Source organism: Homo sapiens, chromosome 19 (assembly GCF_000001405.40).
Source record: "Homo sapiens chromosome 19, GRCh38.p14 Primary Assembly".
NCBI classification, from domain to species: domain Eukaryota; kingdom Metazoa; phylum Chordata; class Mammalia; order Primates; family Hominidae; genus Homo; species Homo sapiens.
The window spans coordinates 53851279-53877786 of record NC_000019.10 but is presented as its reverse complement, the minus strand read 5'-3'; the positions used below and the strand labels follow the sequence as shown (position 1 = coordinate 53877786).

General features: G+C 52.2%; 1 protein-coding gene and 1 long non-coding RNA gene across 13 annotated transcripts, besides 5 other annotated features; one reads left to right on the top strand and one right to left on the bottom strand.

Annotated features, from left to right (window-relative positions):
- MYADM (myeloid associated differentiation marker) lies at positions 1352–12159 on the bottom strand. Of its 12 annotated transcripts, none has more exons than NM_001290193.2 (3): positions 12059–12159; positions 7949–8033; positions 1352–4259 (listed from the first exon to the last, which is right to left on the bottom strand). In NM_001290193.2, exon 3 carries the CDS (start codon positions 4255–4257, stop codon positions 3289–3291), a length of 969 nt encoding a protein of 322 aa, NP_001277122.1. In that variant the 5' UTR covers positions 4258–4259; positions 7949–8033; positions 12059–12159; the 3' UTR covers positions 1352–3288. The 12 variants fall into 12 exon arrangements, with proteins under 12 accessions (NP_001277122.1, NP_001277117.1, NP_001018656.1 ...); NM_001290188.2 differs by lacking the exon at positions 12059–12159 and adding an exon at positions 11370–11416 and having other exon boundaries at positions 7949–8097; NM_001020820.3 differs by lacking the exon at positions 12059–12159 and adding an exon at positions 11370–11416.
- Positions 7187–8100: an enhancer, noted in NCBI's record as "H3K27ac-H3K4me1 hESC enhancer chr19:54372941-54373854 (GRCh37/hg19 assembly coordinates)". NCBI's record gives its function as "activates a minimal SCP1, AML or CMV promoter by ChIP-STARR-seq in naive H9 embryonic stem cells {active_cell/tissue: H9 hESC(naive)}" and the evidence as "EXISTENCE:reporter gene assay evidence [ECO:0000049][PMID:30033119]".
- Positions 8101–9014: an enhancer, noted in NCBI's record as "NANOG-H3K27ac-H3K4me1 hESC enhancer chr19:54372027-54372940 (GRCh37/hg19 assembly coordinates)". NCBI's record gives its function as "activates a minimal SCP1, AML or CMV promoter by ChIP-STARR-seq in naive and primed H9 embryonic stem cells {active_cell/tissue: H9 hESC(naive and primed)}" and the evidence as "EXISTENCE:reporter gene assay evidence [ECO:0000049][PMID:30033119]".
- Positions 8289–8348: a silencer, noted in NCBI's record as "silent region_11012". NCBI's record gives its function as "represses an Ori minimal core promoter by ATAC-STARR-seq in GM12878 lymphoblastoid cells {active_cell/tissue: GM12878}" and the evidence as "EXISTENCE:reporter gene assay evidence [ECO:0000049][PMID:35858748]".
- MYADM-AS1 (MYADM antisense RNA 1) lies at positions 8680–25553 on the top strand. Its single transcript, NR_184033.1, has 3 exons — positions 8680–8878; positions 19823–19909; positions 23152–25553. It is a non-coding gene; the product is annotated as an MYADM antisense RNA 1 (long non-coding RNA).
- Positions 10124–11099: an enhancer, noted in NCBI's record as "H3K27ac-H3K4me1 hESC enhancer chr19:54369942-54370917 (GRCh37/hg19 assembly coordinates)". NCBI's record gives its function as "activates a minimal SCP1, AML or CMV promoter by ChIP-STARR-seq in naive H9 embryonic stem cells {active_cell/tissue: H9 hESC(naive)}" and the evidence as "EXISTENCE:reporter gene assay evidence [ECO:0000049][PMID:30033119]".
- Positions 19271–19771: an enhancer, noted in NCBI's record as "H3K4me1 hESC enhancer chr19:54361270-54361770 (GRCh37/hg19 assembly coordinates)". NCBI's record gives its function as "activates a minimal SCP1, AML or CMV promoter by ChIP-STARR-seq in primed H9 embryonic stem cells {active_cell/tissue: H9 hESC(primed)}" and the evidence as "EXISTENCE:reporter gene assay evidence [ECO:0000049][PMID:30033119]".
- Positions 25554–26508: the final 955 nt, after the last annotated feature.

Genomic DNA, 26508 nt, shown 5'->3' with positions numbered 1-26508 from the left:
TCCCTGTGGTGCTGTGCTTCAATGCTTACACTCCTCCTTCACTTTCATTCTCCTCCCATACTCCTGGTTCCTCTTTGAAGTTCATAGTAGATAGCGGTAGAAGAAATAGTGAAAGTCTTAAAGTCTTTGATCTTAGAAGTGCATAGAAGAAAACACTGACGTATGCTGCCTTCTGTCTCTGCTTCGGCTACCTAAGAGGGAAGGGCACCCTGTCCCGTGATCACGTGACTTGCTTCACCTTGTCAATCACTTCGAAGATTCACCCTCTTTACTCTGCCCCCTTGTCTTGTATGCAATAAATATCAGCGAGCCCAGCCGTTATGGGCCACTACCGGTCTCTGCGTCTTGATGATAGTGGTCCCCTGGGCCCAGCTGCTTTCTCTTTATTTTTGTCTTGTGCCTTTATTTATTACAATCTCTCATCTCTGCACATGGGGAGAACACCTGCTAAGCCCCATAGGGTTGGAGCCTACAGAAATGGACAAGATGGCCTTCTGTGGGACAGAGATTGGTTGCAGTAGCTCATTTGATCTTTATGAAGGTCTTCTGTTGACCAGGTATATTCAGAGGCTTAGATTGGAGGGTAAGGAGGGAGCTGATAGTGGGAATGGAGGCGGGATCAGATCATGAAGGCCAGACCCAGGGGCTTTGATAGTGCCTATAGGCAATGGGCTACGGAAGGACTTCAGCAGGGAAGGGCAGGATCAGATCTGCATGATGAAAGAATCCCTCTGGAGCCAGGGTGGGATGGAGGAGAAGGAGGCTGGGGCAATAGCTCAGGTGAAACAAAATGGAACTTGAGCTGGACCAGGAACCTGGAGAAGAGGGCGGTAGAAATGGTATTTAGGGGGAAGAATAGACAGTGTTTGATGAGGGACTGACTTGAGTAGACGGGGGGAAGGTACCACCATGTGCTTGGGTTCTCAGCTCTGAGAGGCTATTACTGAAATGGGGGGACCTGGGAGGACGAGGTGACTGGGGAGGAAAGCTCCTTCACTCAAATTAGGACGTTGTATTTGTGAGGTGCTCAGGGGACAGACTCCAAGGAGGGAGAAGTCTAGTTCATTTCTATCCCACCCAGCCCTCCTGGTTTGAGGAAGTCATTTAGAAGACCTAGATCCAGCTAGTATCTTCTGATGAGGCCAAGGTTGTCTTGGCACCAACCCTATTCTCCCACTAGACCCAAGAATCTGGCCCTTGCCCCTCTCCGAGAGTCCTCCCCCGCTTTTCTTTTTTATTTTTTTGTAGAGACGGGGTTTCACCATGTTGGCCAGGCTGGTCTCAAACTCCTGACCTCAAGTGATCCGCCCGCCGTGCTCGGCCGCCCTCCTCATTAAGAAAGCACAAGTCCTTCTTTTACCTTTATATTGATATTTAAAAGAAAAAGAACATGATGGATACGGGAATGGGGGAAGGGACAACGGTTCTACGATTAACAACAGGAACTGATAGGAACCAGAAGCTCCAGGGATTTAAAAAAAAATAAAATATATATTTATACATTTATATATATATATATATATATCACGTTATGTATGTGAGTCCCAGACAAGCAGGAAGCAGCAGCAAGAAGCAACTAGCACACAGAAACACCCGTGCGTGTGCACTACACATTCAAGCAAAGCCATTCCTCTAGCTAGGACGCAGCAATCCCCACCCTCCCACCTACGGGCAAAAGAGAACAGCTGAAAACAAACTTCCCTCTTTAAGGGCCACTCAGTAATTTTTGTCCTCATGGCCAGGAAAAAGAAAGAAAAACAAAACAAAACAGAAAAGGTCGATCTTGCCTTGAAAGCGGGCAGTGGCTATTTTCTTCTCTCTGCCAAAGCAGGACACGTTATTCTTAACACAGAGGGCCACATCGCTGTCCCTCACAAATACTTCAGACAGTTGTCTTCAACATCCTGTGGTTCTTCGTCCGATTCCTTTTTTTTTTTGAGATGGAGTCTCGCTCTGTCCCCCAGGCTGGAGCACAGTGGTGCCATCTTGACTTACTGCAACCTCCACCTCCCGGGTTGAAGGGATTCTCCTGTCTCAGTCCCCCCAAATACCTGGGATTACAGGCGCCCGCCACCACGCCCGGCTAATTTTTGTATTTTTAATAGAGACATGCTTTCACCATGTTGGCCAGGCTGGTCTTGAACTCCTGACTTCAGATGATTGCCTGACTTGGTCTCCCAAAGTGCTGGGATTACAGGCGTGAGCCACCACGCCCGGCCCCGACTCCTTCTTTTTTTTTTTTTTTCTTTTTGATACCACAGAGAATAGTTGGGATGAAAGGCATCCAGCCCCTGCTTCCTTTAAGATGGCCTCTAGGCAGTGGGTGTTCTGTAAGCCTGGCAAAAATTCTGGAGCCAATCTCTGGCAAGGCTGAGTGCCAGGCGGGGCCTAGGGACCCAGGGTCGGTGCTTAAAGCCTCCCGCCCATTGGAAATTACTGACCTCCAAATATATATATATATATGTTTTTTAATTTAAAGGGGAAGTACACTGCACACCTTCCTCCACTGGGAGAAAGAGGGCCCAATCCCCAGCTACCCACCCCCCACCCCCCAAACACACACACACACACACACACACACACACACGTACACACTGACTAAGGCACAGCGAGGGTGGGCAGGCATGCTTTGGCAATGGGGCCCCTTGGGGGGCTGTGGCATGGACGGCTGCAAGGGGTGTGGATGTGAGCTCAGCACCTTTGGAGGTGGGTGGAGGCAAGGAGAGAAAGAAGTCTCAGGGCTCCCAAGGACACAGGAGAAGGTGCTTGCAAAACAGGCAGATAAGAAAGCCGACAGGCAACCCAGAAAAGAGATGAGAAAAAAGAAGAGTGGAAAAAGAGAAACAGGCTGGGTGCGGCAGCTCACACCTGTCCTCCCAGCTACTTGGGAGGCTGGGGCAGGAGAATCGCTTGAACCCAGGAGGCGGGGGTTGCAGTGAGTCGAGATCGCACCACTGCACTCCAGCCTGGGCCACAGAGTGAGAATCCGTCTTAAAAAAAAAAAAAAAAAAAAAAGAAAAGAAAAAGAGAAACAGCTCAGGGGTGAAAACAGGATGTGGGCAACAAAACAACACAGGAAGGAAACAGCAAGAGGAAAGGGAAGGAAGAAGATGCATCCAAGAACTGGTTAGAGTGCAAGGAATTGGGAAGGAAAGAAAAAGGTGGGAGGGAGGGGAGACAGGAAGAGGAAAACAGAGGAAAGGCGGAGGAAAGAAGTACTCCATAAAGAAAACTCGGGCAAGAAGAACAAAGAGGTTGGAGAGGGAACGGGAGCCTCTTGGGAGAGTCTTAGACCTTGACAAAAACCAGGTGGGCAGAGTGCACCAGGTCAGCCACATACGCCAGTAGGTTGATGGCCGTCAGGATGGCCACAGCCAGTCGGCGGTCCCAGGCACACACGTAGTAGGCATGGCTGCGGCTGCAGCTTACATCTCTCGAGCGCCGAGGCTGGCCGCCATACTTCTCATCGAACTGGTAGAGGGGCCAGAGAACAAGGGCGGTGGCATAGAGGAGGACAGACAGCAAGGCCAGCCCCGACAGGAAGCTGGGGAAGGGGATGGGTAGCACGTTGGTGCACTCCCCCAGGTTCAGCAGGATGGCGATGGCCGCTAGGATGAAGCAGATGGCGTACACCGCCACGCACCACTCCAGGGCCGGCTGGTGCTGGTACAGGTTGGGGTCGCTGATGAACGCGAAGATGATGCAGGCAACGAAGGTCTCCAGCACCTTCAGCAGCCCGGGTACGGTGGCCATATAGCCAGTGATCTCGCCGGGCCGGGCCCGGGTCCAGGCCACTTCGGTGGCGTAAGCCACACACGCGATGCAGGAGAAGAAGGTGGCGGCGATGGCGTGGTCCCGCGAACGGCCGTGGGACAGGAACTGGACATAGGTGGTGGGGTAGATGATGGAGGCCGAGAGGCAGAAGAGGGCCGCATAGCAGGCGAAGGTGATGGGGAAGTTGCGCCAAGACAGGGGGAAGCGGGCCTGGAGCCCGCACAGCTCCACGATGAGGATGATCAGGGTCACGGAGAAGCAGAAGCACCAGGTGAACATGGACCAGTTGCCCATGGACCCCGTCCAGGCGCCCACGCTAGCCACCAGCGAGAAGGCCACGCAGGTAGACACCAGCTGCAGCAGGCGAAGGAGACCCAGGGGCTGTGTCAGGGCCCGAGGGGACCCCACGATCATGGGGGACCCCAGGCCCGAAGATGACGTCGTGGTGGTTGTGATGGTGGTGCGGGTTACCGTCACTGGCATGGCTGCAAAAAGGGGAAAGACAGTGTCCTTATACAGTCACAAACATAAGAATCCAGGTCCCTTAGCCATTGCCTACCCCAGGGACAAATTAATATGAGCTCTAATTAGGGAGTTCCCAAGATGTGGGGCTTTCGGTTTTCTTTTCTTTTTTTTTTTTTGAGACAGAGTCTTGCTCTGTGGCCCAGGCTGGAGTGCATTGGCACAATCTCAGCTCACTACAACCTCTGCTACTCAGGTTCAAGTGATTCTCCTGCCTCAGCCTCCCGAGTAGCTGAGATTACAGGCATGTGCCACCACGCCCGGCTAATTTTTTTGTATTTTTAGTAGAGACGGGGTTTCACTGTGTTAGCCAGGATGGTCTCGATCTCCTGACCTCATGATCCGCTGGCCTTGGCCTCCCAAAGTGCTGGGATTATAGGCGTGAGCCACCGGGCCCAGCCTTGGGTTTTCAAATGGGGACAGTCCTGGGCATACAGGGATGAGCCTGTCCCCTCCGGTTCAAGGCTCACTCCTCCCCTACTCGTATCAGAATCCAGGAGTCTAGGCCCCTATTTTCCTCCTTCTCAAGAGATTCTTCTCTCTTTCAAGACCTAACTACTGTACAACTACACTGTTTGCTTCCCACTCCAGATACCGTGCTTCCCTCTTTCCCTCCCTCCCCAAGGGACTCAGTAGCTCAGCCATTTAGCACTCTGTACTCTATAGCACCACCCCTCTGGCCAGGCACAGGTGTGGCTGATGCCTGTAATCCCAGCACTCCAAGAGGCTGAGGCAGGAGGATTGCTTGAGCCCAGGAGTTGGAGACCAGCCTGGGCAACCTTAGGGAGACCTCATTTACCAAAAAAAAATTTTTTAATTAGCTGGGTGTGGTGGTGTGTGCGTGTGGTCCCAGCTACTCGGGATGCTGAGGTGGGAGGATTGCTTGAGCCTGTGGGGTCAGGGCTGCAGTGAGCTGTGATGCACCAGTGCACTCCAGCCTGGGAGACAGAGTGAGACCCTGACTCAAAAAAAAAAAATTTTTTTTAATTACAAATAGGCCGGGTGTGGTGGCTCACACTTGTAATCCCAGCACTTCGGAGGCCAAGGTGGGTGGATCACTTGAGGTCAGGAGTTGGAGACCAGCCTGGCCAACGTGGCGACACTCGGTCTCTACTAATAATACAAAAATTATCTGGGCGTGGTGGCATGCACCTGCAATCCCAGCTACTCGGGAGACTGAGGCAGGAGAATCACTTGAACCCAGGAGGCAGAGGTTGCAGTGAGCCAAGATAGAACCCCTGCACTCCAGCCTGAGCCACAGAGCCACACTCCGCCTCAAAAAAAATAAAATAATCTGGGCGCAGTGGCTCATGCCTGTAATCCCAGCACTTTCGGAAGCCGAGGCTGGCAGATCACTTGAGGTCAGAAGTTCAAGACCAGCCTGACCAACATGGTGAAACCCCGTCTCTACTAAAAATACAAAAATCAGCTGGGTGTGGTGGTGGGCGCTTGTAATCGCAGCTACTTGGGAGGCTGAGGCAGGAGAATCGCTTGAACCCTAGAGGTGGAGGTTGCAGTGAGCCGAGATTGCGCCACTGCACTCCAGCCCGGGTGACATGAGTGAAACTCCATCTCAAAAAATAAAATAAAATAATAAAAATAAATAAAATAAATAAAAAATAAAGCATCCTCCTTCTGCCTCCTGCCACAACCCAAGTGTCAGAACAAAACGCTTGTCTTCCACAGGCTCTGAAAACCCCATCTCTCAACTTCCTTTTCTTTCAGTATTCAGAGCTCTGCACCCCAGACCCTGTGAGCAAACTTCCTTCTTCCATCGAACAGTGACCTAGACATTTGCAGCCTCTAAACGGCCCAACCTCCCCAGGCTTCCACTCTCAGGGACCCACATCTAATAAGAGCTCCGACCTCCCGATAAAGGATATCTTCTCATAGAGATCCCAGCCGTGGAAAACCAAGAGATCTCCCCTCCCTTCTGACAAGGAGCCTAAACTCTTAGCGGCCTCCTCCTCTCCCTACCCCCCACCTTGGAGATTAGCAACCTTCACTCTCAGTCTAACTCCCACCTGAGATTTAGGACTGGAGTACTGCAACCCAAAAAAGCTAGTTTGAGCCTCCCCCTCCACACTCCTGCATACTGAGTCCATCTACCTCCACCTTCTCTCCCCAAAACCCAGCCAGCTGGTCCCCCAGCTTCTGGGAAACTCAGCTCCCCAGATTTCCAACTGTCCAGTAGGAACCCCAGGCCCTTCCACTGAACTCTCTCTAGGCCTCACAATCCTGTTTTTTGGTTGTTGTTTTTTTTACATGGAGTCGCTCTGTCACCCAGGCTGCAGTGCAATGGTGCGATCTTGACTCACGGCAACCTCCGCCTCCCGGATTCAAGCGATTCTCCTGCCTCAGCCTCCTGAGTAGCTGGGATTACAGGTGTGTGCCACCATGCTCGGCTAATTTTTGTATTTTCAGTAGAGATGGGGTTTCGCCATGTTGGCCAGGCTGGTCTCAAACTCCTGACCTCAAGTGATCCGCCCGCCTTGGCCTCCCAAAGTGCTGGGATTACAGGCATGAGCCACTGCGCCTGGCCATCACCGTCCTGTTATAAGGGGTCAGACCTCTGGCCCTGGACCCTTAGCCTGAAGGATCCCAGATGCCCCAGACTCCAGAAAACCAATTTGCTTCTTTAGTCCTTGCAAAACCTACAGCTTCCACCTCCTTGTCCTAATGGCCCCCAGGAATCAAGTGCCCGTCCTCTTAGAAACCAGGTGCCCAGTTCTTTCCTTAGGCTGTAAACTGTCTCAACGCAGCCACAGGACTAAACCCAAGGCCTCTCCTAGCCACAGGAAAGTAACTTCCTCCTTTCAGCTTCAGGCACTTTGCAGGGCAGTAGCACAGGCCTTAACCTCTTCGTGGCAGTCGCAGGACAGCAGCTCCCTGAGACAAAGGAGCCAGGGCCTGGACTCGCTTCTTCCTCAGATACCTCAGTGTCTGGGACCCTATTCCTTGGAGCCCAAGCTTCCTGGTCCTTCTCCCAGGATCTAGGAGCCCAGGACCTAATCCTTCCTCCTTCAGACCCACGAGTCCAGACCCCAGCCCCTCCTCCCTCAGACCCAGGAGCCCAGGCCCCCAGCCCCTCCTCCCTCAGACCCAGGAGCCCAGGCCCCCAGCCCCTCCTCCCTCGGACCCAGGAGTCCAGACCCCAGCCCCTCCTCCCTCGGACCCCGGAGTCCAGGCCCCCAGCCCCTCCTCCCTCGGACCCCGGAGTCCAGGCCCCCAGCCCCTCCTCCCTCGGACCCAGGAGTCCAGACCCCAGCCCCTCCTCCCTCGGACCCAGGAGTCCAGACCCCAGCCCCTCCTCCCTCGGACCCAGGAGCCCAGGCCCCCAGCCCCTCCTTCCTCGGACCCAGGAGTCCAGACCCCAGCCCCTCCTTCCTCGGACCCAGGAGTCCAGACCCCAGCCCCTCCTCCCTCGGACCCCGGAGTCCAGACCCCCAGCCCCTCCTCCCTCGGACCCAGGAGCCCAGGCCCCCAGCCCCTCCTCCCTCGGACCCAGGAGCCCAGGCCCCCAGGCCCCCAGCCCCTCCTCCCTCGGACCGAGGAGCCCAGGCCCCCAGCCCCTCCTCCCTCGGACCCCGGAGTCCAGGCCCCCAGCCCCTCCTCCCTCGGACCCCGGAGTCCAGGCCCGCTGCCTACTCACCAGCGGTCTTAGCAGAGGAATCCACGGAGAAAGATCTGGTGGTGGAGACGGATTAAGCCACACTTGGAACAGGCTGTAAGAGCACCTGAGGGGGAGGTAGGCCGTTAGCGTCCGTTTGGACAGGCTCCTCCCTCTAGGGATCGAACGCCCTGCGGAGACAGGAACGTGGCGTGGAACCCAGCAGGGCCCTGGCGGTGACCCCGGGTAAGCCCCGCCCCCTCCCCTCCCCGTTCAGTTAACTGTTTGGGCTGCGGCGGACGGAACCCAGCGAAAGTGCACGCCCCGCGGGCCGGCGTGGGCGCGTGTGTGATCTTAACCCCGCGGGGGCGGGGGTGCGGGCGGCAGTGGCGGGAGAACCCTGGGCGGCGGCTGTGGAGGCGGGCGGCCCAGCCAGAGCCGGTGTCTCCGCGCCTTATAAGGGCTTCGAGTCGGCCCAGGCATCTGGAATGTGTCAGGGACCAGGAGGCGGTGCCCGGACCCCCGCCCGCCTCCGGGGCTGCCCGCCCTCTCCCGGATTTCCGGGGGGTGGGGACCCCGACTCTCAGGGTTGGAGGCCTGCATTTCTGGATCCCTATAAACATGGGCTGAGAGCCCCCCCAAGAGCATCTCTAAGACCGGAGTGGGCAGGGACCCGGGCCTCTGAGGGGCTCAGGCTCCAGGCCGGAAACTGCACGCGGTGCTGGCGTCAGGCCCGAGGCCCAGCTACGCCTCCCACGGCCTCCCTAATCGCCATTCGGGGCTTGCGGGAGCACCTGGGAGGCTCCACCCGGAGCCAGACACTGCCTGCCCCCACGCCCCTCCAGGACCCTCGAAGGAGAAGGAAATCGGGACTGGCCCAGCGTCCCGTGCTCTAGAAGGCGGGCTACTGCCCCGTCCCAAGCAGGGGAGGAGGACGAGCGAGGGCGTCACTCATTCTGTCCCCCGCGGAAGGTGGGCTAGCCGCGGAGGGGGGCGCGCAGGGGAGGGGGGCGCGCCGAGGGGAGGGGAGGGGAGGGGTCCACCCCGCCCTTAGGGCCTCCAGCCATCGCCCGAGATCAGAGCTCAGGAATGCGCAGCCAGACCCTGGAGGGTGAGGAAACACCCCTCCGGGATTCCTCGCAGCGCACCCGACTCTCCGGGCCACACCCAGCCCCTCAGTGTCCTCCCTCGTCCACTCCAGACGCCACACCCATCGCTCACGCTGAGAATCGGGCCCCGGAACCCCAGCTTCGGCTCTCGGCACCCAGAGGTGCGGGACGCAGCCCTGTCTTCTCCTCCTTTCCCAGCTCCTTCTGCACTTCGGAAGCACGGGGCTGGATCTTAACACCCCCCTCCCTCGGCCTTTCAGGAGCCCAAAGTTCCGATTCTGTCTGTCCCCTGGATGGGGAGGGGTCAGTAATTCTGAATTCCTTCCATTCTCATTCCCAAACCCAGGACACCTAACCCTAAGCGCTTCCCCTCCTAAAGGACCTCCACGTACCAGATTCCAGCCTCCAACTAGGGCACCTACGAGTCCCCATCTCTCTACTCCCGCAGACCCAGCCCCTCCTCCCTCAGACTCAGGAGTCCAGGCCCAGCTCCTCCTCCCTCAGACCCAGGAGTCCAGGCCCTCAGCCCCTCCTCCCTCGGACCCAGGAGTCCAGACCCCCCAGCCCCTCCTGCCTCGGACCCGGGAGTCCAGACCCCCAGCCCCTCCTCCCTCAGACCCCGGAGTCCAGGTCCCCTTCCCCACTCTTCCAGACGTATGACCTCCACAGTCCAGGTCCTCAGCCCTCTCCTCTGCAGAACCCCAAGAATCCTGGCCCAGCCCCAGTCTTTCTAGGGACCCAGACATTCTGAGACCCAGCCCATTCCTCTCTCTGGCCATAAAGACCCTAGACTGTTGCTTATGCCCTCTGGGGTCCCCACAACCTCACCTCAGGCAGCCAGTGGCGACTGCGGCTGAAGCAAAGACGACAGCGGCAGCTGGAAGGGTCTGAGGGCTGGGTGGGGTTGGAGGGCTGGGGAGCCAGCGCGGGCGGGACGGGGGCGGGGCCGGGGCGGGGCGCAGCTCCGGCTAGGGCGGTGGACAGGGACTTCCCCGAGTCTGGGCTATCCCAGCCCCGCCCCGAGGCGGGGCCAAGAGCAGACCACGCCCCCCAGAGTAAAAGTAGCGTGGAGCTCCCGCCCCACCCCAGTGAGCAGGGTGGAGGGCTGAGGTCACGGTTGCCGTGGTGACAAAACAGGAAGACACAACAGCTGGCGGCGTGGAGACTCCTGGGGGCTGCCCTCCTCGACACAGCCCTAGAGGAGTCTCCCGGGTAGGCCAGGGAAGACCGTTACCATAGAAACCCCGCATGTTTAGGGTTTGTTTAGTGCAGAGCCCCCCAGCTCAGGTCCCCGCCCCCGTCTCACCTCACTCCTTTCTTCCGCTCCCTTCCTACCCCCTCCTTCCTGGTCTGTTCCGCCCCCACCCCTTCCTTGCCGGATGAAACCTTAGACACCTGGGTCGCAGCGGATTGGGGGACCAGGCCCCTCAGTTCAATGGGGGGGCTAGGATCTCTGTCTCTTGGAGCCCTGAGGGAGAGCAGAATTGAGAGCAGTATTCCTGGGCTTTAGGTGGTTCTGGGCTACGATCCCTGACTGATGGGTCTCCCCAAGAAACAGAGGCTAGATTCCTGTATTTAAGGACTTGAAGGGGCGGCAAAATGCTCCCCTAGTACCCACTGGCACCGGGCGCCGCAGGGTAAGGGACTCGGGCTGGACGCAGGTCTCAGATATCACAGTGGATAGGGGTGGGGTGTGTTGGGGGCAAAATTCCTGGGAGCTAGCGCGGTAGCAGTTGGGGGCCCGGATTCCTGGGCTCCACAGGATGCCTAGGCTGAGGCCCAGATTCTTGGCTCAAAAGAACAATCAGGCCTGGGCGCGGTGGCTCACGCCTGTAATCCCAGCATTTCGGGAGGCTGAGGAGGGAGGATCCCTTGAGCCCAGGAGTTCGAGACCAGCCTGGGCAACATAAGGAGACTCTGCTCTATTAAAAATAAATCATCATGATCATCATAATAGAACCATTAAAGCTCAGACTCGGGTTTTCCGAGCAGGTGTTGCAAGCCTAGCCGCCTGGGTCTGGAAGGCAGCGATATTTTTGGCCTACATTCCTGACTCCTGGATGGAGGGAGGGACTCAGAATTTTAATGAGGATGGGGCTGGGGCTGGGGCTTGGGGCTCTGGATTCACGGATCCTGCAAGAGGGGAAGGGATCCAAGGGGCTGGTGGGCCCGAAGCCCCAGGGCAGGGAAGGGATGCAGGGTGTGTTTTTAAAAGGCGGCTCTGCGGCCCTAAAACGGACTGCCGGAGCCAAAAGAAAAAGAGGGAGCTGAGGGTCGGGATGTCGGGCCCCCGGGGAGGGGCAGGGCGGGGACCTGGGACGCCTGAGTCCCTCCCTCTGGCCGCGTTCACTCACCGCGCTCTGCAGTCGTCCCGGGCGCGGCCTGGCTGGCTGCGGCCGCTGGGCGGGGCCTGGTGGCGGCTGCGGATGCTCAGCGACGCTGAGCTAACGGGGCGCGTCTGGCGCTGCCGCCGCTGGGCACCTTCCAGGGCCGACAACTGAGGAGGCTTTGAGGCCAAGCCCAGGGGTGGAGGCCGAGTCCAGGAGTGGAAGCCGCGCGAGTGGCGAAGGGAGCAGTCGGAAGGGGTCCGGGAGCTGGGGATCCGGGTCTACGTGCCCTACGGAGCAGGGAGGGGCCGGAGGGGGACCTGCAGGAAGGCGGGGGTCTGCAGGAGTGGAGAGGGGGTTGGGTAGAGGAAGGTAGAGCCTGTGTGCGGGCTTGATGTGCTTCTGCAAAGGGAAGGGGACACAGACCCTCTTTGTCACTCTGGGCCCTGCATAGGGGAGGGAGGTCTCAGTGCACCCAGATCAGGCCTTGTCCTTGTCCAAGGAGGGAGGGCTGTGGACAGATAGGGAGTCGGGACATGGTGTTAGTTGGAGACTCCCCTGGGACGCCTCTAGGTTCTATTCACAGGCCTCCTTGGCCCCAAGTGTAGCAGCAAATCTTTCCCCTTCCTGCCTAAATTAGTCACTGCCTAACCCCATAGTGACACACTCAAGGTACCCCAAACGGCCCAGAGGTGGTCTCCACTTACACAACTTACTGTGTTATTCCTCGTGGTGGCAGCGGTTCCCTTGTAGACACTAGAACCCCTCAACAGCAGGGTTCAGGGTAGCAGGAACAGGAAGCAAACATTTGAAGAGTGAAGGCCGGTCACGGTGGCTCACCTCTGTAATCCTAGCACTTTGGGAGGCCAAGGCAGGCAGATCACCTGAGGTCGGGAATTCAAGACCAGCGTGGCCAACATGATGAAACCCCGTCTCTATTAAAAATACAAAAAAATTAATCAGGCGTTGTGGCGCCGCCTGTAATCCCAGCTACTCCAGAGGCTGAGGCAGGAGAATGGCTTGAACCCGGGAGGTGGAGGTTGCAGTGAGCCAAGATTGCCACTGCACTCCAGCCTGGGTGACTGAGCGAAACTCTGTCTCAAAACAAAAAATAACAACAAAACAAATAAAAATTTGAAGAGTGAGTCATCGGGTGTGGTCCTAAGAAATGGCACTCTTGGCCGATGCAGCAACTCATGTCTGTAATTCCAGCACTTTGGGAGGGAGGCCGAGGTGGGTGGATCACCTGAGGTCAGGAGTTCGAGATCAGCCTGGCCAACATGGTGAAACCCCGTCTCTACTAAAAATACAAAAAATTAGCCGGGCGGGGTGGCATGTGCCTGTAATCCCAGCTACTTGGGAGGCTGAGGCAGGAGAATCGCTTGAACCCAGGAGGCAGAGGTTGCAGTGAGCTGAGATCATGCCATTGCACTTCAGCCTGGGTAACAAGAGCAAAACTCCGTCTCAAAAAAAAAAGAGAGAGAAAAATAAAAGAAAGAAATGGCACTCTTGAGTTCACAGGTCTTTGTAATCTGGGATCATCTGGCATGTACCCCTGGTTCAGAGTGGTTACCCATCCTGTAACAGCACCCCGACCCCAAAGATGATGACTCCAAACTGGCCCTGTAACCCAGTCTCAAACAGGCCGTGCTGTTCCATGAGGCTGGCTGCTTTGGGGTAATGGGGTACATGGACTGCCCCCCACTGACTTCCTAATATATGGAGCTCCTTGATCAGAAGCAATACTGTGCGGGTTAACATGAGGGTGAATAGGGCCATTCAGTGCATACACAGATGCTGCTGTTGGCAGAAGTGCAAAGGGCAAGAAAAGCAAATAACAAGCCCAGAGTTGTTTACTCGAGGGAGGAAAAACTCCCTGCCCAGCCCAGGATGAAAGGGCTCCAGTGTAATCCTCACGGGCCCAGGTATTTGGCTTTTTGGTCTTCCTAGGAAACTGTACCACACTGGGGGATCAGCACTTGCTACTGCCAGCTAGGTGGGCATTCATCAGTGACGTAGGTGGTGTAGTCCACCTCGGCCACTTTGCTCCTGAACCTATGGAGCAAGCCCTGAGGATGCCAGGGAAGGAGGCTGATCCAGATCCTCAGAGTGGTCATCTGATCTACCACATGGCATCATAGCATTCCCTGTAATAGAGGTTTTAGGGGGAGAGTTCACTTGGGATAAAGATTACGAAGTGGTTTCCACTCGCAACACGTCTGACACCAATGTGTGTGTTTTTTCTTTTCTTTTTTTTGAGACGGAGTCTCGCTCTTGTCATCCAGGCTGGAGTGCAAAGAGGTGGTCTTGGCTCATTGCAACTTCTGCCTCCCAGGTTCAAGCGATTCTCCTGCCTCAGTCTCCCCAGTAGCTGGGATTACAGGCACCCACCACCACACGCAGCTAAATTTTTTTGTATTTTTAGTAGAGGCGGGGTTTTCACCATGTTGGTCAGGCTGGTCTCAAACTCCCCACCTCAGGTGACCCACCTGCCTCGGCCTCCCAAAGTGCTGGGATTACAGGCATGAGCCACCGCGTCCAGCCACCTGGCTACATTTCTAGGACTGTCCTCTAAAAACAAATAAGTTGTTTTTTTCATCTCAGGTCAATTCTTTTCTTTTTATTTATTTATTTATGTTTTAAGATGGAGTCTCACTCTGTCACCCAGGCTGGGGTGCAGTGGTGCGATCTCTGCTCACTGCAACCTCTGCCTCCTGGGTTCAAGCAATTCTCCTGCCTCAGCCTCCCGAATAGCTGGGACTACAGGCATGGGCCACCACGTCCGGCTAATTTTGTATTTTTAGTAGAGATGGGGTTTCACTCTGTTAGCCAGGCTGGTCTCAAACTCCTGACCTCAGGTGATCCACCTGCCTCGGCCTCCCAAAGTGCTGGGATTACAGGCGTGAGCCACCGTGCCCAGCCGTCAATTCTTTTCCTCTTTTTCATCTCTAAAGACATTCTTCTCATAACCTTACTATTGCTGTTACAATTCTTCTCTTTTTGATAGTCAATGTTCCTACTCAAAGAATATTTCGTTGGATTTAAAATACACACACACACATATCATATATATGCATATATATGTGTGCATTTATTATCTCACAGTTTCTATGGAGCTTAGCACAGTTTAGCCAGGTTCTCTGTGAGGCTGTAATCAAGGTATTGGCCAGGACTGAGTTTTGGGTTTGTTTGTTTGTTTGTTTGTTTTTGTGTTTTTTGTTTGTTGGTTTGTTTGTTTTTGAGATGGAGTCTCACCTTGTCGCCCAGGTTGGAGTGCAGTAGCACGATTTCGGCTCGCTGCAACCTCTGCCTCACAGGTTCAAGCGATTCTCCTGCCTCAGTCTCCTGAGTAGCTGGGATTACAGGTACATGCCATCACCCCGGCTAATTTTCATATGTTTAGTAGAGACAGGGTTTCACCACATTGGCCAGGCTGGTCTTGAACTCCTGACCTCAAGTGATCTGCCCACCTTGGCTTCCCAAAGTGCTGGGATTACAGGCGTGAGCCACCACGCCCGGCCCGGCACTGAGTTTTGATCTGAAGGCTCCGCTGGGAAAGGACGTGCTTCTAAATTCACTCAGCTTGCTGCAGAATTTGTTTCCTTGTGACTTTAGAACTCATCAGGGGCTGGGCACGGTGGCTCACACCTGTAACCCCAGCACTTTGGAAGGCTAAGGAGGGCAGATTGTTTTGAGCTCAGGAGACCAGCCTGGGCAACATAGCAAAACCACATCTCTATAAAAATACAAAAATTAGCCAGGTATTGGTGGTACCTGCAGTCCCAGCTACTGGGGAGACTGAGGCTGGAGAATCACTTGAGCCTGGGAAGCAGAGGTTGGAGTGAGCCGAGATCACGCCACTGCACTCCAGCCCCTGGATGACAGAGTAAAACCCTGTCTCAAAAAAAAAAAAAAAAAAGAACTCAGCCGGGCACAGTGGCTCACGCCTGTAATCCCAGTACTTTGGGAGGCTGAGACAGGCACATCACGAGGTCAGGAGATCGAGACCATCCTGACTAACACGGTGAAACCCCGTCTCTACTAAAAATACAAAAAATTAGCCGGGCGTGGTGGTGGGCACCTGTAGTCCCAGCTACTTGGGAGGCTGAGGCAGAAGAATGGCGTGAACCTGGGAGACGGAGCTTGCAGTGAGCCAAGATCGCACCACTGCACTCCAGGCTGGGAGACAGAGCGAGACTCCATCTCAAAAAAAAACAAAAAAACAAACAAAAAACCCTCATCAACTCATCAGTGCATGCTCCTTCAAAGTCAGTGATGAGAGACTCTAGGGTGTGTCAGCTAGCAAGAAATCTTCTACAACATATAAGCACCACCTTTGCCATGCCGTATTGGTTAGAAGAAAGTAACACGTTCCTCCCACACTCAAGGGATGGGGATGATACAAGTGTAGAAGATTTCTTTTTAGGAGGAAGAAAATTTTCTGGACACACAAAGTAGTGATTGGCCAGGTGCAGTGGTTCACGCCTGTTATCCCAGTACTTTGCGAGGTTGAGGCAGGCGGATCACTTGAGGCCAGGAGTTCAAGACCAGCCTGGCCAACATGGTGAAACCCTGTCTCTACTAAAAATACAAAAATTAGCCAGGTATGGTGGTGCATGCCTGTAATCCCAGCTACTCAGGAGGATGAGGCAGAAGAATTACTTGAACCTGGGAGTCAGAGTTTGCAGTGACCTGAGATCACACCACTGCATTCCAGCCTGGGCGACAGAGTGACTGAGACTCTCTCTCAAAAAACAAACAAACAAACAAAAAATAATAACCACCTAGCAGCAAAGCCTGTGAATGCATTTCTGCTTCCTTTTTTTTTTTTTTTTTGAAACAGGGTCTCGCTCTGCCGCCCAGGCTGGAGTAGTGCAGTGGCGTGATCTCGGCTCACTGCAGCCTCGACGTCCAGAGCTCAAGCAATCCTCCTGCCTCAGCCTCCAGAGTAGCTGGGACTACAGGTGCTCGCCACCATGCCAGGCTAATTTTTTTTTTTTTTTTTTTTTTGGTAGAGACTGGTTCTCACTCAGTTACGAAGACGGGTCTTGAACTCCTGAGTTCAAGCGATCCACCTGCCTCAGTCTCCCAAAGAAGTAGTAGCAACATTTTTAAAAAGTTTAAAAAAAAAATAAGAAAAAAGTCAGGAGAGTTGGGGTTGCAATGAATAGGCAGAGTAAGAGATATTTTAGGAGAATGAAACTGTATTATGACACCATAGTGGTAAATACTGATTATTATACATTTGTATGAACCTATAGATTCTATGACACCAAGTGAACCCCAGTGTAAACCGTGGACCCTGGGTGAAGATGACATGTCAAATCAGCGGAGGTTCATCCACTGTAACAAATCTACCACTAGCTGGGGATGGTGGTAGTTGGGGAGGCTGTGCATGTGTGGGGACAGGGAAATCTCTGTACCTTCTGCTCAATTTTTATGTGAACCTAAAAATGCTTTTAAAAATAAACTCTATTGGCTGGGCGCGGTGGCTCATGCCTGTAATCCCAGCACTTTGGGAGGCTGAGGCGGGCAGATCTCTTGAGGTCAGGAGTTCGAGACCAGCCTGGCCAACATAATGAAACCCCATCTCTAATAAAAATACAAAAATTAACCAGATGTGGAGGCTCATGCCTGTAGTCCCAGCTACTCAGGAGGCTGAGGTGGGAGAATCACTTGAACCCAGGAGGCAGAGATTGCAGTGAGCAGAGATCACGCCACTGCACTCCAGCCTAGGCGACAGAGCGAGACTCTGTCTCAATAATAATAATAATAATAATAATAATAATAATAATAGACCGGGCGGGGGCCTTACGCCTGTAATCCCAGCACATTGAGAGGCCGAGGCGGGCGGATCACCTGAGGTCGGGAGTGTGAGACCAGCCTGACCAACATGGAGAAACCGCGGCTCTACTAAAAATACAAAATTACCTGGGCGTGGTGATGCCTGCCTGTAATCCCAGCTACTCAGGAGGCTAAGGCAGGAGAATCGCTTGAACCCGGGAGGCAGAGGTTGCAGTGAGCCAAGATCGCGCCATTGCACTCCAGCCTGGGCAACCAGAGCGAAACTCCGTCTCAATAAATAATAATAATAATAATAAAATTTAAAATTCGGTTTCTCAGTCTCACTAGCCAGGTTTCAAGTGCTCTTTGTGGCTATGGCACGGTAGCACAGCCTTCATTTCGTGTGGACTCCTTAGGCTCAGAATAGAGCTCTGGGTTTTGGAGTGTGTCAGCCTGTATTAGCATTCAGACTCCAGCGGTAGAGTAAAAAAAAATACATTGTGACCAACTGGGGTTTATTCCAGAAATGCCAAAATGGCTTTTTTTTCTTTTTCTTTTTCTTTTTCTTTTTTTTTTTGAGACAGAGTCTCTCTGGGTCTCCTAGGCTGGAGTGCAGAGGCGTGATCACAGTGGCGTGATCACAGCTCACTACAGCCTCAACCTCCCGGCCTCAAGCGATCCTCCCTCCACAGCCTTCTGAGTAGCTGGGAATACAGGTGTGTACCACTATGCCCAGCATGGTGTTTTTAGTAAAGACAGGGTTTTGCCATGTTGCCCAGGCTGGTCTTGAACTCCCGGGCTCAAGCAATTTTCCTGCCTCAGTTTCCCAAAACCACCCGTAAGCCACTGTGCCCAGCCCAGAATGGCTAATATTCAAAAACCATTAATGAGCTTTATCATATTAACAAAGTAAAAAAAAAATCAGTATGATCATCTTATATATGCTAAAAGAATATTTGACAAAATTTAGTATCTATGTTTTTTGGTTTTGGGTTTTTTTTTTTTTTTTGAGATGGAGTCTTGCTCTGTCACCCAGGCTGGAGTATAGTGGTGTGATCTCAGCTCACTGCAACCTATGCCTCCCGAGTTCAAACGATTCTCCTGTCTCAGCCTCCTGAGTAGCTGGGATTACAGGCTCTGGCCACCATGCCCAGCTAATTTTTTTGTATTTTTAGTAGAGACAGGGTTTGGCCAGGCTGGTCTCAAACTCCTGACCTCGTGATCCGCCTGCCTCGGCCTCCCAAAGTGCTGGGATTACAGGCATGAGCCACCTCGGCTGGCTCTATGAATTTTTTTTTTAGAAAAACACTGACTAGCTGGGTGTGGTCATGTACAACTGTGGTCCCAGCTACTTGGGAGGCTGAGATAGGAGGATCTCTTTAGCCCGTGGGTTCAATTCTGCAGTGAGCTATGATCGCACCACTGCACTGAAGCCTGGGCAACAGGGTGAGACTCTGTCTCAAAAAAAGAAAGAAAGAAAATTAAAGTACAGTGGCAAGGGCAAAGGTGTCACTAGTCAATGTCAGGAGGGCAGTGCCCAGTGGTGGTGGTGGTAATGGTGGCTTCCCCACCGGGGTGTGGCTGCATCTGATATTAGGAACATTCTTGCTGCTGTCTATTCTTGGCCTCCTGCCACATTCCTGAGCCGGATTCCGTAGCCTTTCCATGTATCCTTTGCTTTTTTTTTAGACAGAGTCTTGCTCTGTCACCCAGGCTGGAGTGTAGTGGCACGATCTCAGTTTACTGCAACCTCTGCCTCCTGGGTTCAAGAAATTCTCCTTCCTCAGCCTCCCGAGTAGCTGGGATTACAGGCATGCACCACCATGCCCGGCTAATTTTTTTTTTGTATTTTTAGTAGAGATGGGGTTTTACCATGTTGGCCAGGCTGGTCTCAAACTCCTGACCTGAGATGATCCACCTGTCTCAGCCTCGCAAGAGTGCTGGGATTATAGGCATGAGCCAGGTCGTGGCTCTTCTGCTTTTTTTTTTTTTTTTGAGAGGGAGTCTCGCTGTCACCCAGGCTGGAGTGCAGTGGCTCTATCTCTGCTCACTGCAAGCTCTGCCTCCCGGGTTCAGGCCATTCTCCTGCCTCAGCCTCCCAAATAGCTGGGACTACAGGCACCTGCCACCACGCCTGGCTAATTTTTTGTATTTTTAGTAGAGACGGGGTTTCACCATGTTAGCCAGGATGGTCTCGATCTCCTGACCTCGTGATCCGCCCGCCTCGGCCTCCCAAAGTGCTGGGATTATAGGCGTGAGCCACCGCGCCCGGCTCTTTTGCTTTTACTCAAAGTCCTTCAACACATTCCTCCTCTGCTTCTTGGATCCAAACAAGAGCCACCACAGCCAGAGGCTCTCCCTGCTGCATGGCAAGAGACCCTCAGGAATTCCCCTTCACATAGCCCAAGAGGAGGTTTCATGCGCATGAGATGATTTTCGTTTTTCTCCTGATGCAGATTGGATTAACAGATGGTGACTTTTGTCATCCTTAAGCAAAATAGACTGAAGTCTTCGGTTTTGAAGACGTAGGCTGCATTTTTGGGGGAACGACGAAGGAAATCTATTTGATTTGTAAAACTCCCCTGCTGAATGTACTTCTAAGACTGGAAATAGATCAAGACTCCATCTTATAGGGGACTGGTGAGATGAACGATGGCAGATTCAATAATGCAAACATGTCTGTATCTTCTTAAAAGGATGAGGAAGCTCTGTTTACCTAAATGAAAAGCTTTCTAGGAGGAAGTCCTAAGTGAACAATGATGCATGAGGATGCAATCTTACAGGTGAGAAAACATAAAAATAAGGATATTTATATGGTTTACCTATTTGTCCCCTCCAAATCTCATGTTGAAAATTGATCCTGGGCTGGGCACGGTGGCTCACACCTGTAATCTCAGCACTTTGGGAGGCCAGGGTGGGTGGATCACCTGCGGTCAGGAGTTTGAGACCAGACTGACCACCATGGTGAAATCCCCTCTCTACTAAAAATACAAAAATTAGCCGGGCATGGTGGCGAGCGCCTGTGATCTCAGGAGGCTGAGGCAGGAGAATCGCTTGAGCCTGGGAGGTGGAGGTTGCAGTGAGCCGAGATTGCGCCACTGCACTCCAGCCTGGGCAAGAGAGTGAGACTCTGTCTCAAGAAAAAAGAAAATTTATTCTGAATGTTGGAGGCCTGTGGCCTTGTGGGAGGTGTTTGCGTCGTGGAGGCCCATCCTGCATGAAGAGCTTGGCGCTCTTCTCAGGGTAATGAGTGAATTCTTGCTCTATTTGTTCCCATGAGAGCTGATTGTTAAAAGGAGCCTGCCGGACAGGGCAGCTCATGCCTGTAATCCCAGCACTTTGGGAAGCCAAAGCAGGAGGACTGCTTGAAGCCAATAGTTCAAGACCAGCCTGGGCAACATAGTGAGACCCTGTCTCTACAAAAAAATTTGGCACCCGACCTGTATAATTTTTCTATTTTAAACATATTGGCTGGGCGCAGTGGCTCACGCCTGTAATCCCAGCCCTTTGGGAGGCCAAGGCCAGCATATCACCTGAGGTCGGGAGTTCGAGACCGGCCTGACCAACATGGAGAAACCCCATCTCTACTAAAAATACAAAATTAGCTGGGGTGGTGGTGCATGCCTGTAATTCTAGCTACTCAGGAGGCTGAGGCAGGAGAATCGCTTGAACCTGGGAGGCAGAGGTTGTGATGAGCCGAGATCGCACCATTGCACTCCAGCCTGGGCAACAAGAGCAAAACTCCATCTCAAAAAAATAAAAAATAAAAAATAGACATATTAATGTATTAGCTTTATAAAATTATATCAGGCTGGGCATGGTGGCTCATGCCTGTAATCTCAACACTTTGGGAGGCCAAGGCAGGGGATCACCTGAGATCAGCAGTTTGAGACCAGCCTTGCCAACATGGTGAAACCCCATCTCTACCAAAAATACAATAAATTAGCCGGGCGTGGTGGAGGCGCCTGTAATCCCAGCTACTTGGGAAGCTGAGGCAGGAGAATTGCTTGAACCTGGGAGGCAGAGGTTGCAGTGAGCTGAGATCATGCCATTGCATTGCAGCCTGGACAAAGAATGAAACTCAGTCTCAAAAAAAAAAATTATATCTATATTACATGATTCAATGCATATAAAATTCTTAGAATAGGCTGGGTGCGGTGGCTCATGCCTGTAATCCCAGCACTTTGGGAGGCTGAGGCAGATGGATCACCTGAGGCCAGGAGTTCAAGACCAGCCTGGCCAACATAGTGAAATCCCTTCTCTACTAAAAATACAAAATTTAGCTGGGTGTGGTGGCTGGTGCCTGTAATCCCAACTACTCAGGAGGCTGAGGCACAAGAATTGCCTGAACCTGGGAGAGGGAAGTTGCAGTGAGCCTCAGCCACTGCAGTCCAGCCTGGGCAACAGAGTGAGACTCTGTCTCAAAAAAATAAAAATAAAAATAAAAGTAAAATTCTTAGAATAATGCCTTGTATCAGTACATATATATTCACACATGTATATTCACACATGTATATGTGTGTATATGTGTGTGTGTGTGTGTGTGTGTGTGTGTGTATATATATATATATATATATATATATATGCCATGGATATTTCCAAAAAGATACAGAAGACATCAATAAGAACAGAAGGGGAGGAACGCTGGAAAATGGGAAAACTGGGATGGATGAGAAGCTTACAGTCTACCCGGAAATATATTACCAAGTCAAAACACATCACTGTTTATGTATTTTATTACAGGGTCTCACCCTGTTGCCAGGCTAGAGTGCAGTGGTATGATCACGACTCACTGCAGCCTTGACCTCTTAAGTCTGAGAGATCCTCCTACCTCAGCCTCCTGAGTAGCTGGGACCACAGCTGTCTCCCTGGCTAGGGTTTGTTTTACTTATTTATTTATTTATTAGAGACAGAGTCTCACCCTGTCACCCAGACTGGAGTGCAGTGGCACAATCTCGGCTCTCACAGCAACCTCCACCTCCCAGGTTCAAGCAATTCTCCTGCCTCAGCCTCCCAAGAAGCTTGGAGTACAGGCGCATGCTGCCACGCCCAGCTAATTTTTTGTATTTTTAGTAGAGACAGGGTTTCACTACGTTGGCCAGGCTGGTCTCGAACTCCTGAACTCGTGATCTGCCTGCCTCGGCCTCCTAAAGTGCTAGGATTATAGGCATGAGCCACCACGCCAGGCGGGCTTAATTTATTTATTTTTATTTTTCATTTTTTGAGATGGAGTCTCACACTGTCACCCAGGCTGGAGTGCAGTGGCGTGATCTCGGCTCACTGCAACCGCCACCTCCCAGGTTCAAGCGATTCTCTTTGCCTCAGCCTCCTGAGTAGCTGGGATCACAGGTGCCTACCACCATGCCCGGCTAATTTTTTTTTTTTTGTATTTTTAGTAGAGACAGGGTTTCACTATGTTGGCCAGGCTGGTCTTGGACTCCTGACCTTGTGATCCGCCCACCTCAGCCTCCCAAAGTGCTGGGATTACAGGTGTAAGCCACTGTGCCTAGCCGGGTTTTATTTTTTATATTTTATTTTATATTTTGTAGACACAGGGGTCTCCCTATGTTGTTCAAGCTGGTCTCGAACTCCTGGCCTCAAGTGATCCTCCTGCCTCGACCTCTCAAAGCTCTGGTATTATAGGTGTGAACTACTGCATCTGGCCTGTATAATTTTCTTATTTTAAACATATTAATGTATTAGCAATATAAAAGTATATTTATATTACATGACTCAATGCACGTAAAATACTTAAAACAATGTCTTATATCGGCACACACACACATATATATATACACACACATTTATACATGCATATATATATATATCTGTGTGTGTATATATATGCAATGGATATTTCCAGAAAGATACAGAAGAAATCAGTAAAAACAGAAAGGGAGGAACTCTGGGCAACTGGAAAACAGGGGTGGCTGAGGAGGCTTGCGTCTACCCTGAAATCTATTACCAAGTCAAAACACATCACTATGGATGTATGTATTTTAACGAAGTATTTATAATCTTTCAGGCAAGGAGCCCAGTGATAACAAATGGCTGTAGATGCTTTTCCTCCATCAAGCTTCCAGGAGGAGATGAGATGGAGCCCATCGCTGAGCCAAGGTCACCAGCCCCATTTCACAAATGTAAATAGCAGGTGTCCCCCACACAGTCTGAACACTTGGAGGCCAAGATTCATTTCTCTCAGGGCCCACCATCCTCAAGCATGGGATTGATTTAGTGCCTCTTGCTGGGAAGCAAAGTTCTGGGAGCCATAGTGGGATCCTCCCTCCCTCCCTGCAGGAGACTGGGGCCCTTCCAAGCAGCAACTGAGACCAGTCAACAACCTCTGCCTTAGGCCAGGCGCGGTGGCTCACGCCTGTAATCCCAACACTTTGGGAGGCTGAGGCGGGCAGATCATCTGAGGTCAGGAGTTCAAAACCATCCTGGCCAACATGGTGAAACCCCGTCTCTACTAAAAATACAAAAATTAGCTGGGCGTGGTGGTGCGTGCCTGTTGTCCTAGCTACTCCGGAGGCCAAGGCAGGAGAATTCCTTGAACCTGGGAGACAGAGGTTGCAGGTCTGAGATTGCACCACAGCATCCAGCCTGGGCGACAGAGTGAGACCCTGTCTCAAAAAGAAACAAATTAAAAAACAAAAAACAAAAAACAACCTCTGCCTGCCCTTGGGGCCTAGCATGAGCCCCTGCACACAGGAGGCTTCTATAAAAATAGCTCATTTCGGGTAATCTAGGGCAGAACCCAGGCTTTTACCACTTGTGGTTTCTCTTTCTAAATGTGTAGTTAAAAGCTGTAGGCCAGACCTGGTGCATGGTGGCTCATGCCTGGAATCCCAACACTTTGGGAGGCTGAGGTGGGAGAATCACTTGAGGTCAGGAATTTGAGATCAGCTTGGCCAATATAGCAAGACCCTGACTCTTTAAAAAAAAAATTTTTTTTTTAATTAGCCAGGCAAGGTGGTTGTGCCTATAGTTCCAGCTACTCAGGAGGCTGAGGCAGGAGGCTCACTTGAGCCCAGGAGTGCGAGGCTGCAGTGAGCTGTGACTGCACTGCTACACTCCAGCCTGGACAAACTGAGCAAGACCCCATCTTAAAAAAAAAAAAAAAAAAAAAAAAAAAAAAAGACTGGTTGCAGTGGCTCATGCCTGTAATCCCAGCACTTTGGGAGGCCGAGGTGGGCGGATCACCTGAGGTCGGGAGTTCGAGACCAGCCTGACCAACATGGAGAAACTCCATCTCTACTAAAAATACAGAATTAGCTGGGTGTGGTGGCACATGCCTGTAATCCCAGCAACTCAGGAGGCTGAGGCAGGAGAATCACTTGAACCCAGGAGGCGGAGGTTGCTGTGAGCTGAGATCGCGCCATTGCACCCCAGCCTGGGCAACAAGAGCAAAACTCCGTCTCAAAAAAAAAAAAAAGAAGAAGAAGAAGAAACCCAAACACACACACAAACAAAATAACAGGTGCAGGCCAGTTAAACAAAAACAACTCAAGAACTGTGCCCTGCAGGGGCGCATTCATGTGCGGGTGCCCCCTAGAGGACTCTGAGGGTAGAATGCATTCATCCTGAATGGATGCAAGAGGATCATTTTTCTTCATCCAAAGTGAATTCCCTACCGTATGCTATGCCCAGGGGACATGGCCAGTGAACAAGACATGCAAACATTATTGCTGCTGCTCTGTTCACACATGCAAGAGAGAGACAATGAGTCAGCAAACACACACATAAGTTGTTTTTGTATAGCAAAATGTACCAGAACATAAGATATAGGGGACTGGTGGCTGGGCGTGGTGGCTCATGCCTGTCATCCCAGCACTGTGGGAGGCCGAGGCAGGTGGATCACCTGAGGTCAGGAGTTGAGACCAGCCTGGGCAACATGGGGAAACCCCATCTCTACTAAAAAATACAAGTCCCAGCTACTCAGGAGGCTGAGGCAGGGGAATTGCTTGAACCTGGGAGGCGGAGGTTGCAGTGAGCCAAGATCGCCCCACTGCAATCCAGCCTGGGTGACAGGTAGAGACTCCATCTCAAAATGATGATGATAAGAAGAAGAAGAAGAAGAAGAAGAAGGCTGGGCACGGTGGCTCACGCCTGTAATCCCATCACTTTGGGAGGCTGAGGCAGGCAGATCACGAGGTCAGGAGTTCGAGACCAGTCTGACCAACATGGTGAAGCCCCATCTCTACTAAAACTACAAAAATTAGTCGGGCATGGTGGTGTACGCCTGTAATCCCAGCTACTCAGGAGGCTGAGGCAGGAGAATTGCTTGACCCTGGGAGGCAGAGGTTGCAGTGAGCCGAGATCGTGCCACTGCACTCCAGCCTGGGTGACAGAGCAAGACTCCATCTCAGATAATAATAATAATAATAATGGCTCAAGCTAATAAAAGAAGGCCTGTCAATGCACCTATATCACCTTCTCTGTTGCATTATTAAAAAAAAAAAGATATAGGAGGCTGGGGTGAGCTACTTTAGATGGAGTGGTCAGGGAAAGGCCTTTTGAGGGGAGGACTCTGAGCTGCTGGCTGAAGGATAAGACAGAACCACCACCCAAAGCATCTAAGAAAGGCTGCCAGTCCAGACACAGGCGCCCTGAGTGGTACACAATAGGTGTGCTCATCCGAGAGCAATGAGGCTAGTGCCGCTGAATTCAGAGTGATTGAGGAACTGCGGTAGGAAATGAGGCAAATAATGTGGTATTGTCGCAACCATGGAAATGCAGGCTGATGACACAGAACACTACAGATTTCAGAAACAGATGCACTTGATCTGTGCACAAAGTCACATTGCTTTTTTGCAGTCGAGAACAGACATTTTTGTGGAGCTGTATTCGGTCCAGGACCCCGACCTTACACCGTACCCCAAATACATTTCTAGATGGTTCACATGTCTAAGTGTGAAAGATAAAACTATAAATATTCAAGAGCAAGGCATTGGGAAACATCTCTGGGATATCAGGATTGGCAAGGATTTCTTTTTTCTTTCCTTTTTTTTTTTTTGAGACAGATTCTTGCTCTGTTGCCCAGAATGGAGTGCAGTGGCGCGATCTTGGCTCACTGCCAGCCTCCGCTTCCTGGGTTCAAGCGATTCTCCTGCCTCAGCCTCCCGAGTAGCTGGGACTACAGGCGCCCACCATGCCCACCTAATTTTTATATTTTTAGTAGAGACGGGGTTTCACCATGTTGGCCAGGCTGATCTCAAACTCCTGACATCAAGTGATCCGCCCGCCTCAGCCTCCCACAGTGCTGGGATTACAGGCAAGAGCCACCGCGCCTGGCCAGTAGTGATTTTTTTAAATAGACAAATGAAAAGTGTATGTGTTGGCCGGGCTCGGTGGCTCATGCCTGTAATCCTAGCACTTTGGG